This window comes from Homo sapiens, chromosome 4 (genome assembly GCF_000001405.40).
Source record: "Homo sapiens chromosome 4, GRCh38.p14 Primary Assembly".
In the NCBI taxonomy this organism is placed as follows: Eukaryota; Metazoa; Chordata; class Mammalia; order Primates; family Hominidae; genus Homo; species Homo sapiens.
The window spans coordinates 170,162,337-170,180,699 of NC_000004.12; positions in this window are offsets into that span (position 1 = coordinate 170,162,337).

Below are 18,363 nucleotides of genomic sequence, written 5' to 3' on the forward strand. Positions count from 1 at the left end.
AGACTGAGTCTTCACATCTCACCTGGGCCCTTGTAGTGGCCTCCTATGCTTTTGTTGTTTTCACCTCTCCACATGCAATCTGTTTTCTTTAAGCTGCTTCCACAGGTATTTCTAAAACACAAACATGTACATTGTCAAATGTGTCTGCCTACTTAGGGTTTTAGAACTTTGTGGACTACCTCTGATGAGGAAATTTGTGAGCCAGCACAAGACTTCTGAAATTTATTTGGAAACATGTCTGCAGATTGATGGTTGGCTATAAACCAACTTCTCCCTAGAATTTATAGCTCACATTAGATCTTGAGGTCAAGACCACCTAGTTAGTTCTTAGAATGGCAGTTTATTGCCTTGACAGAGATTTTAACAACTATTTTGTACTATAAATCTTTTGATAAGAATGGTCCCACCTGTTTTACTACTTGAACATGGTTCAGAAATTGCAGAGTATAAAAACAGTAATATTTGTCAACAATTTTAATGTCCTCTTTTCAACCACCTATGTATTTATTGGCAATACATGCTGTGTTCAGCACAATGTGAAGAGTTTTGGGAATTTGGGGAAAACTAGATACAATAATATTGCTTTCATCCTTATTGGAAAGGCAAAGGATGCATATAATAAAATGAAATATCATGGCTTAATAATAGCATATAATAAGGTGATATGATTAAAAATCAGAAATATACGTAACAGCTAACCCTTAGTGCTTACTATATGCCACAAATTGTGCTAAACACTTTGCATTAATTATCTTGACTATCAGATTTAATTTTTACAACTACTCTATGAGGTACATGATTAAAGGTCACATGCAAACTATAAATTCAGATGCACTCAATCACTAATTTGCTCAAGTCCAGAGGAGGGAGAAATCATTTCTAGAATTTCTATGGAAGACTTTAAGATGAGATAGAATTTGAACTGTATTTGAGGGCTGGTTAAAAATTGGATAGACAAATGTAAGTGGGATGCTATTTAGGTAAGAGATGCCATGAGCAAATTCCCAGAGGCAAGGATCTAAGGAATGTTACTGGCAGAGTGTTCCAGAATTATAGAGAATTTGAAACGGATAAGAGAAAACAGATGAAGATATATAGGCCGGGAATAAAATATATATGTGTACAACTATGACTTCCAGGCAGTGAATCCTCACTTTTCCACTTGAGTTTGGAAGAAAAAAGAATTAGGTTCTTGAGCTTTTCTGATTTTACCCTTAGCCTTTTGGTAGGCTACTATCTACTGAAATCGGTCCTCAGCAGCAGGTCATATTGGGAAATTGTCTTGCCATGTAGTCTCTGTTGGAGTTTGAGTAGATATCCACAACCTTGAGGTAGAGTTCAGACGTTCTTGAGGATGTTATTTGGAAACCCTCTTGATTTTTGGAATCAGGAGTTATGGTTTGATCATCCTCCTCATGCCATGGCAATGCATCACACAAAGTAGTAGTTTTGCTACTTTATGTTCCTACCCCTAGATGAGTACTATGTGGTAGACCGTGCATGCATGGGTTGTAGTAATCACTCTGAAAAGGAAATAAACTGTGTGGATTTCTGGCATTATTCTTGGAAACTTTTCTCTTTGAACTATAGGTTTTCTGAAATGACCCTTCTACACTTAATGTTACTTAGAGTCCCGATATTTCTCTGCTGCTTAGTGTAGTAGTTAGGACTTCAGATCCCAGAGCTGAGTTGTCTGAGTACAAATCTTAGCTGCTCCACTGGTCCATTTTTTTTTTTTTTAACCACTAGCATGAGCCTTCCCCTCTCTGATTAGTTTTCTTATCTTTAAAATGGTGATAGTAATTGTATCTAAATTATAGGGTTATAGAGATTAAATAAAATGCACAGTATTCTTTCCATCTGCTTTCAGGAATGTATTTGAGATTGGGTCATTTTGCAGATGGAACGATGATTTATTGTACTTTCATCTTACAGATTTATAATTACATCATCATTTTTTTCTTTTGAGATGGAGTTTTGCAATTGTTGCCCAGGCTGCAATGCAATGGCATGATCTCGGCTCACTGCAACCTCTGCCTCCCAGGTTCAAGCGATTCTCCTGCCTCAGTCTCCCAAGTAGCTGGGATTACAGGCGCCTGCCACCACACCCGGGTAATTTTTTGTAGTTTTAGTGCAGATGAGGTTTCACCATGTTGGCCAGGCTGGTCACGAATTCTGGACCTTAGGTGATCCACCAGCCTCCGCCTCCCAAGGTGCTGGGATTACAGGTGTGAGCCACCACACCCAGTCAATATCATCATTTATTTTTATTTTTATTTTTTATAAGACGGAGTCTTGCTCTGTTGCCAGGCTGGACTGCAGTGGCCCGATCTCAGCTTGCAGCAACCTCCGACTCCCTGGTTCAAGCTATTCTCCTGCATCAACCTCCTGAGTAGCTGGGATTACAGGCACTTGCCACCAGGCCCAGGTAATTTTTGTATTTTTAGTAGAGACAGGGTTTCACCATGTTGGCCAGGATGGTCTCGATCTCCTGACCTGGTGATCTGCCCAATTCGGCCTCCCAAAGTGTTGAGGTTACAGGCGTGAGCCACCGTGCCTGGCCAATATTACCATTTTCTATTTTTTTTTCCCCATGAAAACATCACTGTAATTTCATATGTCAATTAATTCTCCCTTTCTTTTTTTTCTTTTTTTTTTTGAGACGGAGTCTTGCTCTGTCACCAGCTGGAGTGCAGTGGTGTGATCTCGGCTCACTGCAACCTTCGTCTCCCTGGTTCAAGCGATTCTCCTGCCTCAGCATCCCCAGTAGCGGGGACTACAGGTGCATGCCACCAGGCCCAGGTAATTTTTGTATTTTTAGTAGAGACAAAGTTTCACCATGTTGGCCAGGATGATCTCCATCTCTTGACTTCGTGATCCTCCTGCCTCAGCCTCCAAAAATTTTCCCTTTCTTTATACTTTTACTACTTAAATTTAGCACCTTTTTGCTATTACTTAAAAAGCCTTCAAGTTTAACCACTAAAATCAATAACATATACGCATCTGTATGTTGTATTTAGAGTGATGAATTCTGAAAACAATAATATACCTCTTTAAATTATAATAATAACATGGCTTATATTACTCTGTTTCAGATGGGTTCTCTAGCTATGGTATAATTATTATGTTTAATCACCCCTAACTTATTTTATTTTAAAATTATATTTGTTTTTATATTTTGAATGTATATTTAGCAAGTAGTAAATATAAAGAAACACTTTAAAAATCACTATCTGGAGATATTTGAGATTATGCTAAATTTGCAGTTTCTTGCAGGTTATCTTTCCTGTATCCTGGTAAACTAGAGTTTTTTTTTTTTTTTTAGTATTTATTGATCATTCTTGGGTGTTTCTCAGAGAGGGGGATTTGGCAGGGTCGTAGGACAATAGTGGAGGGAAGGTCAGCAGATAAACATGTGAACAAGGGTCTCTGGTTTTCCTAGGCAGAGGACCCTGCGGCCTTCCGCAGTGTTTGTGTCCCTGGGTACTTGAGATTAGGGAGTGGTGATGACTCTTAATGAGCATGCTGCCTTCAAGCATCTGTTTAACAAAGCACATCTTGCACCGCCCTTAATCCATTTAACCCTGAGTGGACACAGCACATGTTTCAGAGAGCACGGGGTTATAGATTAACAGCATCCCAAGGCAGAAGAATTTTTCTTAGTACAGAACAAAATGGAGTCTCCTATGTCTACTTCTTTCTACACAGACACAGTAACAATCTGATCTCTCTTTCTTTTCCCCACATTTCCCCCTTTTCTATTCGACAAAACCGCCATCGTCATCATGGCCTGTTCTCAATGAGCTGTTGGGTACACCTCCCAGACGGGGTGGCGGCCGGGCAGAGGGGCCCCTCACTTCCCAGATGGGGTGGCCAGGCAGAGGTGCCCCCCACCTCCCAGACAGGGCGGCTGCCGGGCGGGGGCTGCCCCCCACCTCCCAGACGGGGTGGCTGGCCAGGCGGGGGCTGCCCCCCACCTCCCTCCCGGACGGGGTGGCTGGCTGGGCGGAGACGCTCCTCACTTCCCAGACGGGGCGGCTGCCGGGCGGAGGGGCTCCTCACTTCTCAGACAGGGCAGCCGGGCACAGAGGCTCCTCACCTCCCAGACGGGGTGGCGGTTGGGCAGAGACACTCCTCAGTTCCCAGACGGGGTCGCAGCCGGGCAGAGGCGCTCCCCACATCTCAGACGATGGGCGGCCGGGCGGAGATGCTCCTCACTTCCTAGATGGGATGGCGGCTGGGAAGAGGCGCTCCTCACTTCCCAGACTGGGTGGCCGGGCAGAGGGGCTCCTCACATCCCAGACGATGGGCGGCCAGGCAGAGACGCTCCTCACCTCCCAGACAGGTTGGCAGCCGGGCAGAGGCTGCAATCTCGGCACTTTGGGAGGCCAAGGCAGGCAGCTGGGAGGTGGAGGTTGTAGCGAGCCGAGATCACACCACTGCACTCCAGCCTGGGCAAGATGGAGCACTGAGTGAGCCAGTCTGCAATCCTGGCACCTCGGGAGGCGGAGGCTGGCAGACCACTCGCGGTCAGGAGCTGGAGACCAGCCCGGCCAACACGGCAAAACCCCGTCTCCACCAAGAAATACGAAAACCAGTCAGGCTTGGCGGTGCCCGCCTGCAATCCCAGGCACTCAGCAGGCTGAGGCAGGAGAATCAGGCAGGGAGGTTGCAGTGGGTCGAGATGGCCGCAGTACAGTCCAGCCTCGGCTCGGCATCAGAGGGAGACCGTGGAAAGTGGGAGACAGAGACGGGGAGGGAGAGGGAGAGGGGAAGAGGGGGAGAGGGAGAGAAGGAGAGGGGGCTAAACTAGAGTTTAATTGCACTGAATTAATTCTGTTTTTTAACTGTCCCTATTTGTACTCATTGGTGACTCTCATAATTTAGGTGGCATGGGACATTCACTAGAGCTGTGATTATACATCTGCTATTGAGAACTCTATTCTGGGAAGTTTGAGTTCTAAATTTGATTTTTTTTTAGGGGAAAAAGCTGACATTGTTTTTGATTAGTTTCGATTTGAGAAATATTGAGTAATACTTGCATTTTGATGCTTCTTGGCATCATGTGCTTGATATCCTCAATATTATTCTATTATGTCTTTTAGAATCAGTCCTTGTTCCTCCTTCCTCCCATTAAAATCTAATTTGGGTACTTTGATTAGATCTTCGAGTCTCTTGACAAACAAACTTTTTCAATTTCTGAGATGTACCCTGTCTGAGGAATGTATCATTGTTTTATAAACCAAAGTCCAGGAAGCCAAACTCTTTCATTTTTATATTATGCATGTGGAGCATTATTCCTTTCCTGTCGTGTTTCCTCTCTCCTGCGGTAACAGTCACCAAGTGATAGAGCTGCCAAAGCCACTAGCTGGGCTTGTAAGACTTTCTGCTCTACTCTGAGTTTCAAAGTATCTGGAGATGCTTTCTAGTTTTCCTGATTCCATTCAGCTCTACATCGAAGGTGTGGGTAGGCAGTGATGGGTGAGTCTGCTAACTGTGGCTGTGGCTCGGACGGATTGTGCCGGGACGTGTCTGGAGGCCGTCATCCTGCGGCGTGCAGCTTGGCCGCTTGGCTGTGGGAGGTCAGCTCCTCACATCCTCCCTCCAGGAGGGACAGCATGCCTTCTTTTCATCCAGTATATTCTTTTTTTTTTTTTTTTTTGCTTACTGAGAATTCTTTATCTAGCAAAACATTCTATCATAAATGAGTCCTCCAGTTTATTCTACGTGGAGCAGCCTCATGCTGATTAGTGGGAAGTAACCAACACAAAGTCTTTCTCTCCATGAACACTTGGAGGTTTGCAGAGCGTGAGATGGTTTCTCTGAGGGAGTCTGAAGCTCTCTCCTATAACTCAGAGTTTCTCCTTTCTTCACTATTATAGTCCTTCACTTGACTACCAGCTTATAGTCATCTCTGTTGACCCTTCAGAATATTATTTCCTAGCTTCTTTTGATATTTTTGTTTCTAATTTTAAAAGAATATTCACTGTCTTCTCCTGCTTGGCTTATCATAGCAAAATTGCCGAGACTGGGTGGCTTAACAGAAACTTATTTTCTCACAGTTCTGGAGGCTTGAAGTCAAAGACTAAGGTGCCAGCATGATCAGTTTCTGGTGAGGGCCCTTCCTGGATTGTTGACAGCTTTTTTCCCCACTGTGCCCTCTCATGGTGACAGAGAGGGGGCTTTCTTCTTATAAGGGCACTGATCCCATTATGAGGGCTCCACCCTCAAGACTTTGGCTAAAGCTAATTATCTCCCATTGGTTACATCTCCAAATACCATCACATTGAGGGTTAGGGCTTCAACTTTGGGGGGACACAAACATTCTGTTTATGGCACGCATGAATCTCTAAAGAAGACATGTGGAGAAACATTCCTCACCAGCTGGGAGAGCAGCTGAGCTGCTCCTGTGGCCATGACAGAATACGCCTCTGTTATACTGCAGCCCGCTGCTCAGTGTATTTGATTAGCTCCTTTGCCTCCCTCCTAGACTGTAACTCTTTCAAAACAGAGAGTTTGCCTTATTTTTCCCACGGCAACACAGTATCTCATCAACGTTGTTTAATGAAAGAATAAATCAGCAGTCTCAGTCTTAAACATAAACATCCCCTAAATGTTGTCACCATGGTTTTGTCAGGGCCCATTTTCTTGGCTGACCTTCAGTTTCTGTTGGCTTTCTCATCCCCATTTCCATGTTGTGGCTGATTTTCCTGTGCTTTATAAAATAGGCGATGCAGGAAAATGGGCCTTTTAAACTGCTTAGCACAGTTCTTCCCCTGGCTGCTCTGGTGTATTAGCAGTTATAGGTTATTAGCAGTTTCATCCTTCTCCTGCATTCATTTTTTATGACTTATTTTTATGTTTATATGTCACACAAAAGGACTAAAGAAGGGCCAAGCTCACTTTTATCATGTGTACTCACCAAAGCAAGTTTCTCCCATTTTAGAAATAAGATCTTTGATTGTTAATCTAAGAATCTTTTTCTTTTTTTCTTAAGCATAATTACACAAAATTCATTTTATTGAAAACCCCACAAATTTCAAAATTGTGAAAACAACACCCACCAAAATTCAAAGCTGAATCAAACTAAAAGATAATACAACCACACATAGACACATACACATTGAATGAAGTTGGCATTAATTTTACACTTTGATACATTGGGAATTTTCATAGCTGTTACGTTTTTGAGCTTAAAAAGATAAAAATTCTTGTCTCTGAATCAATAACACCAGGAAATAAAATATAAAGCAAAGTAGCAAATTATGTTAAAAATGAAAGGGTTGTGAATCCAGACATTAAATATGGCCAAGTGTGAGCTATTTTATTTCCTTGAGTGTTGCAAGTGCATGAAGCATCTCTGATTTCTCAAGATTCAATATGAAAAGTCAGTCAAGTAGCTGGAGTTCTATTTCTTTGATGGGAAATTAGGCAAGGCTGAAGAGCACAGCAGAGCAGCTTTTGCATATCTTTGAGGTAACTATGGAAAGGGCATGTCTCTCATTAGTATTGGTTACGAACAACTCAACAAGCCTGGAATATGACAGATGGGGTCTCGGAGCTGACTTAATACTCTAGCATGACAGCAACTCAACTGTGAAAACACAAAGGAAGTTCAGAGGAACAGACTTACCCTTTCTGCAGCCTGGAAGCACTGTTGGTTTTGCTTGGCTTTGTATTATGTCAGAGTGTCATTCGCCCTTACCTGAGTAGCCTTGTCTCCTTGCACTTAATGCACTGCTGTATTTAGCATTTCTACACTGTCTCAGCTGACTTCCCAGTCTCTTTTTTGACTTGTCTAGGGCATGATTCAAAATCTTCCATCAAAGACAGCTCCAGCCAAGTTCATTTTTATGATCCTGTTTTGTGAAGCACACTTGATTTTTTTCACAGTTCAACAGATTTAAAACATGATAAAGAGTTTGGAGGGCAGTGATAATCTATGGACTTGTGCAGATCTGTCAAGGTGTCGAGAGGAAGCAATTGCTTCTTTGGTGAGAATGATACATTGCCTGTACCCTAAAGTCTATGAACAGCATTCTAATGGCAACTTGACATTTATCAAAAGATTTCAGCTTTGTACCTGGCTTTATTTGTGCTCAGCCATCTTGAAAGTTAGGCATTTGCAGCAGAATTCAATAGCAGCACTTCTAGTGAATGCGATATTAACTATTTAATCTGGCAAACTCATAGCTCCTGGATGTATGACACAACAGACAACTCTTTGTATAGGACTAATAGCTGTTAGTCCTTTTCAATGCAAAACACACAATACTCAGAATTCTTGCAGGAACACACATGAGAAGCCAAGAGGTTATAATTTTAGAATTACCAGCTGTGTCTATACTATGTCAAAATGTCCACATAAAAAGGAAAAAATATCTGTTGTCAGTTCATAGAATCAGATGCTTCTTCATGTTGGATATATCTAAAAATACATATATTTTCATTTTCTGGTTCTGGGAAAGAATTTCCAAAGAAAAGTTAGACAGTTATGCTTTGCTGCTGGCATCAGTTTATTCCTGCATGCCTATAAAATATAAAAATTTACTTTAGGGAGAGGTTAGAGGGTTATCTAGGCAATGGGCTAGGTATTAAGGAATACAAGATAGATGAGGTAAGAGCACAGTCTGGGAGGAACTCAAGTTTCAGATTCCGATGAGGCAGACAGTCACACTAGAAAACACATGTAAAATATGTGTGATTGAGGAAGCAGAGGAAGATTTCCCAGAAGAGGTGACATCTGATATGCAACTTTAAAGGTCCATAAGCACTTGTCAGGCAGACAAAGGTCCTGAAATGTAAGAGCATGTAGCCAAAGTGCCCAGGCCTCTTGGGACTGGATAATAAAAGCCACCTCTTGATGGTGGAAATAGCTTACAACTTTTATATTACTTTTTCTTTGGTTACCTTTAATGGTTATAAGATAAATAATACACACAGAAAACTTGTTACTAATCAGGAAACCTATTAAGAACATTTTTGTAAGAGAAAATAGTAAGATTATTTGTTATGAAAGCAAGTAGATATGGATGAGAGCTGTAAAGGGGTTCCAGGCAATGGAGAACTAGTACACATCTTATTGCAGGACTAGTGTGTATGTGTGTGTTTATGTGTGTGTGTGTGTGTGCATGTGTGTGAGAGAGAGAGAGATTTGGAGAGACCTCTAAGTGGCAATGTGAAGGACAAATTTGGACTTGGGAAGGGATTGAAAGTTGGGAAGCAGAGTATATTAGTCCATTTCACACTGCTATAAAGAACTGCCAGAGACTGGGTAATTTATAAAGGAAAGAGGTTTAATTGACTCACAGTTCAGCATGGCTGGGAAGGCCTCAGGAAATTTATAATAACGGCGGAAGGTGAAGAGGAAGCAGTGTACCTTGTTCACAAGGCAGCAGGAAGGAGAAGTGCCTAGCGAAGGGGGAAGAGCTCTTTATAACACCATCAGAGCCGGGCGCAGTGGCTCACGCCTGTAATTCCAGCACTTTGGAAGGCCGAGGCGGGTGGATCACAAGGTCGAGAGCTCAAGACCATCGTAACCAACATGGTGAAATCCAATCTCTACTAAAAATACAAAAATTAGCTGTGCATGTTGGCGCACACCTGCAGTTCCAGCTACTAGGGAGGCTGAAGCAGGAGAATCACTTGAACCCAGGAGGCGGAGGTTGCAGTGAGCTGAGATTGTACCACTGCACTCCAGCCTGGTTACAGAGTGAGGCTCCGACTCAAAAACAAACAAACAAACACCAAATAAACAAAAAACAAAACAAACATCAGATCACATGAGAATTCGTTCACTCTCATGAGAACAGCATGAGGGAACCACCCCCATGATTCAATTAACTCCACCTGGTCTCTCCCTTGACATGTAGGAATTATGGGGATTATGTGGATTACAATTCAAGATGAGATTTGGTTGGGAACACAAAGCCTGGCCATATCACAGAGATACCCATCAGGAATCTCAAATAGTGTAGATAAAGAGGCTAAGTATATGAACAACAGCGCTGCCAAAGGAAAGAAAGAATAAAAAATTAAGTTGAGGTGTTTCACTGGTGGAATTCACCAAATATTTATTCATTCATTGACCAAACATTTAATCACTCATTTGATATTTATTAAACAGACTGTATTTTTAAAAAACACTTTATTGAGGTGCAATTGACATAGAAAAACTATACATATTTAATGTACACAACTTGATAAATTTGATGATGGGTATTCACCTGTGAAACCATCACCGCAATCCATGCTATAAACATATCCATCACCTTCAAAAGTTCCCTTCTGCTTTCTTTCTTTATTACTACTTTTTTGTGTGATAAGAACACAAGATCTATCCTTGCATCAAATTTCAAACATACAATATACTATTGTTAACTACTGCTGTACGATAGATCTCTTTGACTGATTCATCGTGCACAAACAAAACATCGAACCTTGTACTAATATCTCCCATTTTCCTCTCCCCTCAGACCTTGGCAACCACCATTCTACTCTCTACGTCTGTGAATTGGACTATTTCAGATTCCTCATGTAAGTAGGCTTATGCATATTTTTCCTTGTCTGGTTTATTTCAATCAATATAATGTCCTTAAGGTTCACTCTTGTTGTCATAGATGCCAGAATTTTCTCATTTTAAAAGTCAGAGTAGTATTTTATTGTGCATATACACCACATTTCTTAATCTAGTTATCCATTCATGGACATTTAGGTGGCTTCCATGTTGTAACTATTGTGAATAATGCTGCAATAAATGTGGGAGTGCCTCTGCAAGATAGTGATTTAATTTCCTTAGGATAGATATTCAAAAGTGGATTGCTGCATCATATGGTAGTTCTATTTTTATTTTTTTGAGGGTTTTTTTTTTTTTTTTGAGACGGAGTCTTGCTCTGGTGCCCAGGCTGGAGTGCAGTGGCGAGATCTCTGCTCACTGCAAGCTCCGCCTCCCGGGTTCACGCCATTCACCTGCCTCAGCCTCCCGAGTAGCTGGGACTACAGGCACCCACCACCACGCCTGGCTAATTTTTTGTATTTTTAGTGGAGACAGGGTTTCACCATGTTAGCCAGGATGGTCTCGATCTCCTGACCTCGTGATCCGCCTGCCTCGGCCTCCCAAATGCTGGGATTACAGGCGTGAGCCACTGCGCCCGGCCCTTTTGAGGCATCTTTAGACTATTTTCTGTAATAGGTGTGCCAATTTATATCCCTACCAACAATGTACAAGAGTTCCCTTTTCACCACATTCTTCTCAACACTCATCTTTTGTCTTTTTGCTAATAGCCATTTTAACATGGTAAGGTAATATCTCATTGTTTTAATTTGTATTTCCCTGAAGATTATTACTATTGAGCATAGTTTTTTCAGATATCCGTTGGGACATTTTAATTTCTTCTTTGTAGAAATGTCAATTTGAGTCTTTTATTCATTTTAAAATTTATTTTGTTTTATTTTATTGCTATTCCTTACATATATTGGATATTAACCCCTTATCGGATGCATGGCTTGAAAACCTTTGCTCCCATTCTATAGGTTCCTTTTTCATTTTGTTGATTGTTTCCTTTGTTGTACAAAAGCTTTTTAGTTTGACATAGTCTCACTTGTCTATTTTTGCTTTTGTTGCCTATGCTTTTGGTGTCATATACAAGAAATCATTGCCAAAGCCAATGTCAATAAGACGCTTTCTCTGTTTTCTTCTAGAAGTTTTACAGTTTCAGGTCTTACATTTAGTTAAGTCTTTAACCCATTTTGAGTTTTTTTTTGTGTATGGTGAAAGATAGGGGTCCAATTTAATTCTTTTGCATATGGAGGTCCAATTTTCCTAGCACCATTTATTGACAAGGCTGTCCTTTCCCTATTGTGAAGTCTTGGAACACTGTCAAGGATCAGTTGACTGTATATGTGTAAATTTATTTCTGGGCTCTTTATTCTGTTTCATTGTTTGAAGTGTCTGTTTTTATGTCAGAACTATACTGTTTTGATTACTGTAGTTTTGTAATTAGGAAGTGTGATGCCTCCAGCTTTGTTCTTGCCCAAAATTGTTTTGGCTATTTGGGGTCTTTGTGATTCCACATGAATTTTAGAATTTCTTTTTCTACTTCTGTAAACATGCCATTGGAATTTTGATAGGGATTATATTGAATCTGTAGATCACTTTAAGCACTGTGGTCATTTTAACAATATTAATTCTTTTAATCTATGAACATGGAATGTCTTTTCATCTATTTGTATCTGTTCCAATTTCTTTCATCAGTGTTTTGGATGCATAAGTGTTTCACGTTCTTGGTTAAGTTTATTTTTTGATGCTATTATAAATGGGATTTTTAAATTTAATTTCCCTTTAAGGATAATTCATTGTTACTGTATAGAAATACAACAGATTTTTGTGTGTTGATTTTGTATCCTGCAACTATGTAATTTATTAGTTCTACTTTTTTTTTTTTGTGGAGACTTCAGGGTTTCTTACATATAAGATTATGTCATTGGCAAACAGTTTTACTGTTTTGTTTTACTTCTTCCTTTTAAATTTTGTTGTCTTTTATTTCTTTTTGTTGCCTAATTGCTCAAAGACTTCCAGTGCTATATTGAATAGAAGTGGTGAGAGCACAACCTAAGCTCATTTCAGATGTTAAACGAAAAGCTTTCAGTTTTTCACCATTGTGTTGTTAGCGAAAGACTTTTCATATTTTGCTTTTATTTTGTTGAGACAAGCTTCTTCTATACCTAATTTGTTGAGAGTTTTTACAATAAAATTGTGTTAAGCTTTGTAAAATGCTTTTTCTGCATGTAGTCAGATGCTCATGTGTCTTCTATCTTTCATTCTGTTAATGTGTATTATCTTGACTGATTTGTGTATGTTGAATCATCTTTGCATCCCTGGAGTAAATCACATTTAATCACAGTGAATGACCCTTTTAGCGTGCTGTTGAATACACTTTGCCAGTATTTTGCTAAGGATTTTGGGATGTATATTAATCAAGGACATTGACCTATAGTTTTCTGTTTTGTCTTTATCTGATTTTGGTGTTAGTGTGATGCTGGCCTCATAAAATGAATTTAAAAGTGCTATTCTTTTTAATATATTTTTTAAAAATCTAAAAAGCATTGGTATTAGTTCTTTAAATGTGTGGTCAGATTCACCTGTGAAGTAATCCGGCCCCGGGCTTTTCTTTTTTGGGAGAATTTTACTTGTTTACTCTCCTTATTTGTTACTGATCTTTTCAGTCTTTCTATTTCTTCTTGATTTATTATTGATAGGTCATATGTTTCTAGGAATTTACACATTGTTTCCAGGTTGTACAATTTGTTGGTGTATAATAGTCCCTTATGATCCTTTTTATTTCTGTGGCATAAATTGTAATGTCTTCTTTGTTATTTCTGATTTTATTTATTTGAGTCTTCTCCTTTCTTTCTTTGTCTAGCTAGATGTTTGTTGATTTTTAAAAATCTTTTTAAAAAACCTGTTAGTTTTACCAATCTTTCTTATTATTTTTCTATTCTCTATTTCACTGGTTTCTGCACTAATCATAATTATTTCCTTCTGTCTGATAATTTTCGCTTAGTTTTTTCTTATTTTTTATTTCCTTGAGGTATAAAAGTAGATTGTTTATTTGAGATTTTTCCTGTCTTAAAATGTAGATATTTAGCACTATAAACTTCCCTGTTAGTATTGCTTTTGCTGCATCTCATAAGTTTTGGTATTCTGTGTTTTCATTTGAGTTTTAATATGGTTTGGATTTGTGTCCCCACCCAAATCTCATGTTGAGTTGTAATCCCCAGTTTTGGAGGAGGGGCTTGGTGGGAGGTGGTTGGATCATGGGGGTGGATTTCCCCCTTGCTGTTCTCATGACAGTGAGTGAGTTCTTACAACATCTCATTGTTTAAAAGTGTGTAGCACCTCCCCCTTTGCTGTTCTTCCTTCTCCAGCCATGTAAGACATGCCTGCTTCCCCTTTGCCTTCTGCCATGATTGTAAGTTTCCTGAGGCCACCCCAGCCATGCTTCCTGTACAGCCTTGTGGAACTGTGAGTCAATTAAACCTGTTTTCTTTATACATTACCCAGTCTAAGGTAGTTCTTTATAGCAATGTGAGAAGAGACTAATACAGAAAATTCGTACATAGAAGTGGGGCATTGCCATAAACATATTTCAAAATGTGGAAGCAACTTTGGAACTGAGTAATGGGCAAAGGTTGGAACAGTTTGGAGGGCTCAGAAGGCAGGAATATGAGGGAATGTTTGGAACTTCCTAGAGATTTGTTAAATTGTGGTGACCAAAATGCTGACAATGATATGGACAATGAAGTCCAGGTTGAGGTGGTCCCAGTAAAAGTTTGGAAAATTTGCAACCCAGCCATGTGGTAGAAAAGAAAAACCCATTTTCTGGGGATGAATTCAAGCCAGCTGCATAAATTGTGTAAGTAGAGGAGAGCAATGGTAATAACCAAGACAGTGGGGAAAATGTCTTGAAGGCATTTGAGAGATCTTCTCAGCAGCTCCTCCCATCACGGGCCCAGAGAGCTAGGAGGCAAGAATGGTTTCATGGGCTGGGCCCATGGCCCCACTACCCTGCACAACTTTGGGACAATGCTCCCAGCATCCCTGCCACTCCTGCTCTAGCCATGGCTAAAAGGAACCCAGATATGTCTCAGTCTACTGTTCCAGAATGTGTGCCAGCCATAAGCCTTGGTGGCATCCATGTGGTGTTAAGTTTGTGGGTGCACAGGCAGCAAGAGTTGAGGCTTTGGAGACTCCACCAAGGTTTCAGAGGATTTGTGGAAATGCCTGGATGTCCAGGCAGAATCCTGCTGTAGGGTCAGAGCCCTTATGGAGAACCTCTACTAACACAGTGCAGAGGGGAAATGTAAGGTTAGAGCCCCAACACAGAGTCCCCACTTGGGCACTGCCTAGTGGAGCTGTGAGAAGAGGGCCACCCTCCTTCAGACCTCAGACTGGTAGACCCACTGACAACTTGCACTGTGTACCTGGAAAAGCCACAGGCACTCAACACCAGCCTGTTAAAGCAGCTGCAGGAGTTGTGCCCTGAAGAGCCACAAACTCTTTAGGCAGAGCTACCTAAAGCCTTGGGATCCCACCCCTTACATCAGTGTTGCCTGGATGTGGAATGACTTTCATATTCTCAAATTTGTTAAGATTTTTTTGTGACCTAGCATGTGGTTTTTCCTAGAGAATATTGCATGTGTGCATGAGAAGAATGTGTATTCTACTTCTGATGGGGAAATGTATGTGTCTATTAGGTCCACTTGGTCTATGGTTTTAAGTCTGCTGTATGGTGTTATTTAAGTTTGCTGTTTCCTTATACATTTTCTGTCTGACCTATTATTTTAATCTATTATTGAAAGTGAAGTATTGAGGTCCCCTACTACTATTGTCTTTTCTATGTATCCCTTTGGATCTGTCAGTGCTTGCTTTATATATTTAGATGCTCTGATGTTGGGGGCATATATATTTATATTTGTTATCTTCTTGTTGAATTGACCATTTTAAATTTCTATAAAGACATTCTTGATCTTTTGTGGTAGTTTTTGACTTAAATTCTATTTTGGCTGCTATAAGTATAGCTATTCCTGGTTTATTTTGGTGATCACTTGCATGAAATACCTTTTTCCACCCTTTAGTTTCAGCCTATGTGTGTCCTTAATTCTAAAGTGGGTCGTTTATAGACAGTATATAGTAGAATCTTGGTGTTTTTGATCAATTCAGCTACTGCATATGTTTGGATTGGGTAGTTTAATCCATTTATGTTTAAGGTAATTATTGATAGTAAGAACTTACTATTGCCATTTTGTTAGTTGCTTTTTGTCTGTTTTGCAGTTGTTCCTATTTTCATTTTTCTCATTTTCCTCTATAATTTTAATTTTTTTGTAGTTTTATGCTTTTATTCCTTTTACTTTTTCTCTTGTGTACCTACTATAGGTATTTTATGTGTGGTATTATAAGGTTTACATTCAACATCTTGTAGTTATAATACTGTATTTTAAGTTGATAGTAACTTTACATAAATCACACACAAATATTCTATACTTTTACTTCTTTCCTCACTCCACATACTTTATATTAATGATGCCACAATCTACATCTTTTAATATTGTGTATCCACTAACATTTTAAATTTATTCTTACTGCTTTTTTCTTTTAACTTTTATTCTAGAATTAAATGTGATTTACAAACCACATTACAGTACTACAGTATTTTGAATTCGACTATATATTTACTTTTACTGGTGAGATTTATGTTTTCATATGCTTTCATTTTGTTGTTTAACATCCTGTTGTTTCAACTTAAATATGTTCCTTTAGCATTTCTTGTAGGGCAAGTTTAGTGGTGACAAACTCCTTCAGTTTTTGCTCTCTGGGAAAGTCTCTATCTCTCTATCATTTTTTAAAAACAATTTGGCTGGTATAGTATTCTTGGTTGGCAATTTTTGTTCTTTTAAGCACCTTGAATATATGATCACACTCTCCTGCCCTGCAAAGTTTCTGCTAAGAAATCTGCCAATAGCCTTATGGAAGTTCACTTGTATGTATTGAGTTGTTTTTTTCTTACCACTTTAAAAATTCCCTCTTTGTCTTTGACTTTTGATAATTTAATTATAATATGTTTTAGTGTAGAGTCCTTCGTGTTCAATGTATTTGGAGTTCTTTGGGCTTCATGTATCAAGATGTTCATTTCCTTCCTTAGATAAGGGTGTTTTAGTCATTATTTTTTAAAATAAGCCTTATGCTCCTTTCTCTTTTTCTCCTTGTAGCACTTCCATAATGCAAATATTGATTCACTTTAAGATGTACTGTAAGTCCTGAAGGTTTTCTTCCTTTGTTTTTGTTAGTTTTATTCTTTCCATTCTTCTGACTAGATCATTTCAAATGACTTATTTTTGAGTTCACTGATTTTTTTCTTCTGTTTGATCAAGTCTGCTATTGAAACTTTATTGAGATGTTTAGTTCATTGTATTCTTAATATGTTTTTTCTTTGTTGAATATCTTCTTTTATGTATTGTGTTTATGTTTTCTTTTAGTTGTCTACTTCTGTTCTCTTGTTTGCTGAACTTTTAAAAGATAATTACTTGAATTTTTTTTCCATGAATTTGTAGCTCTCCACTTATTTAGGGTCTATTACTGAAGCTTCATTTTGTTCCTTTGATGGTGTCCAGTTTCCCTGAGTCTTCATGATCTTTGTCACTTTGTGCATTTGAAGAGACCTTCACCTCCTGCAGTTATTATAGCCTATATTTGGCAGGAAAAATACCTTATCAGTCACCTTGGCCAGAGATTCTGAGTCAGTTGGAGGGTCTGCAAGCAATAGGCTTGGTGCCAGGGACTGTGGGCAAGTGGACTTGCTGTTGGGGCCTCAGGATTGATGTCTCAACATGTGCTGGGTGTGGAAAACTACCCCCACTCTTATTAGATCCTCCCAATAATCTAGATGTAAAAATTCCCTCAATATATTCTGAATGAGGCATTGCAGAAACAGACCTTTTAGATAGTGTCCCCAAATGCTGAAGATGTCCAACATTCACTTTGCTCTCTGTTTCCTTCACAGGAGAACTTGTGGGCTGAGGGGATCTTTCTTAGTACTACGCTGTGCTAACATGAGGGAGGGGTGATACAGACAAAGTAAAACCATTCTCTTGCTTTTTTAAATGCTTCTTTTCTCATTTCTGTGGTCCATCAAGGTGCTCTAATCTTCACTTGGATTCCAAAGATCTCATAAAGATATTTTCATCCACAAATGTGTGGATAGTCATTAAATTAGTGTTTCTTTTGGAGGATAGAGCTGAGTCCTTTTATTCTGCCATCTTTCTGATATCACTTCAAACTCAGTCTGTTTTTAAAGCATTGCTCTTTGATGTATAGAAAGATAATTGCTTTTGAGGGGCTTATAGTCTAGTAGAAAAATTATGTGTGTGTTTACACACACACACACAGACACACACACACACACACAGAAAGAGATTGACGAGGGGAGATTTTTAAGGAGGTAACTAATGCAGTTGTGAGGCCTGGCCAATCTGAAAACCGCAGGGTAGGCCAGATTCTGGGGACACAGGATAGAGGTGATGTTGAAATCTTGAGTTTGAAGGTAATCTGGAAGCAGAATTTCTTTTCCCTCAGGAGACCTTGTTCTTTTCTTTCTTTCTTTCTTTTTTGAGACAGAGTCTTGCTCTGTTGCCTAGGCTGGAGTGCAGTGGCATGATCTTGGCTCACTGCAACCTCCACCTCCTGGGTTCCAGAAATTCTCCTGCCTCAGCCTCCTGAGTAGCTAGGATTACAGACCTGTGCCACCCCACCTGCCCCTGGCTAATTTTTGTATTTTTAGTAGAGACAGGGTTTCACCATACTGGCCA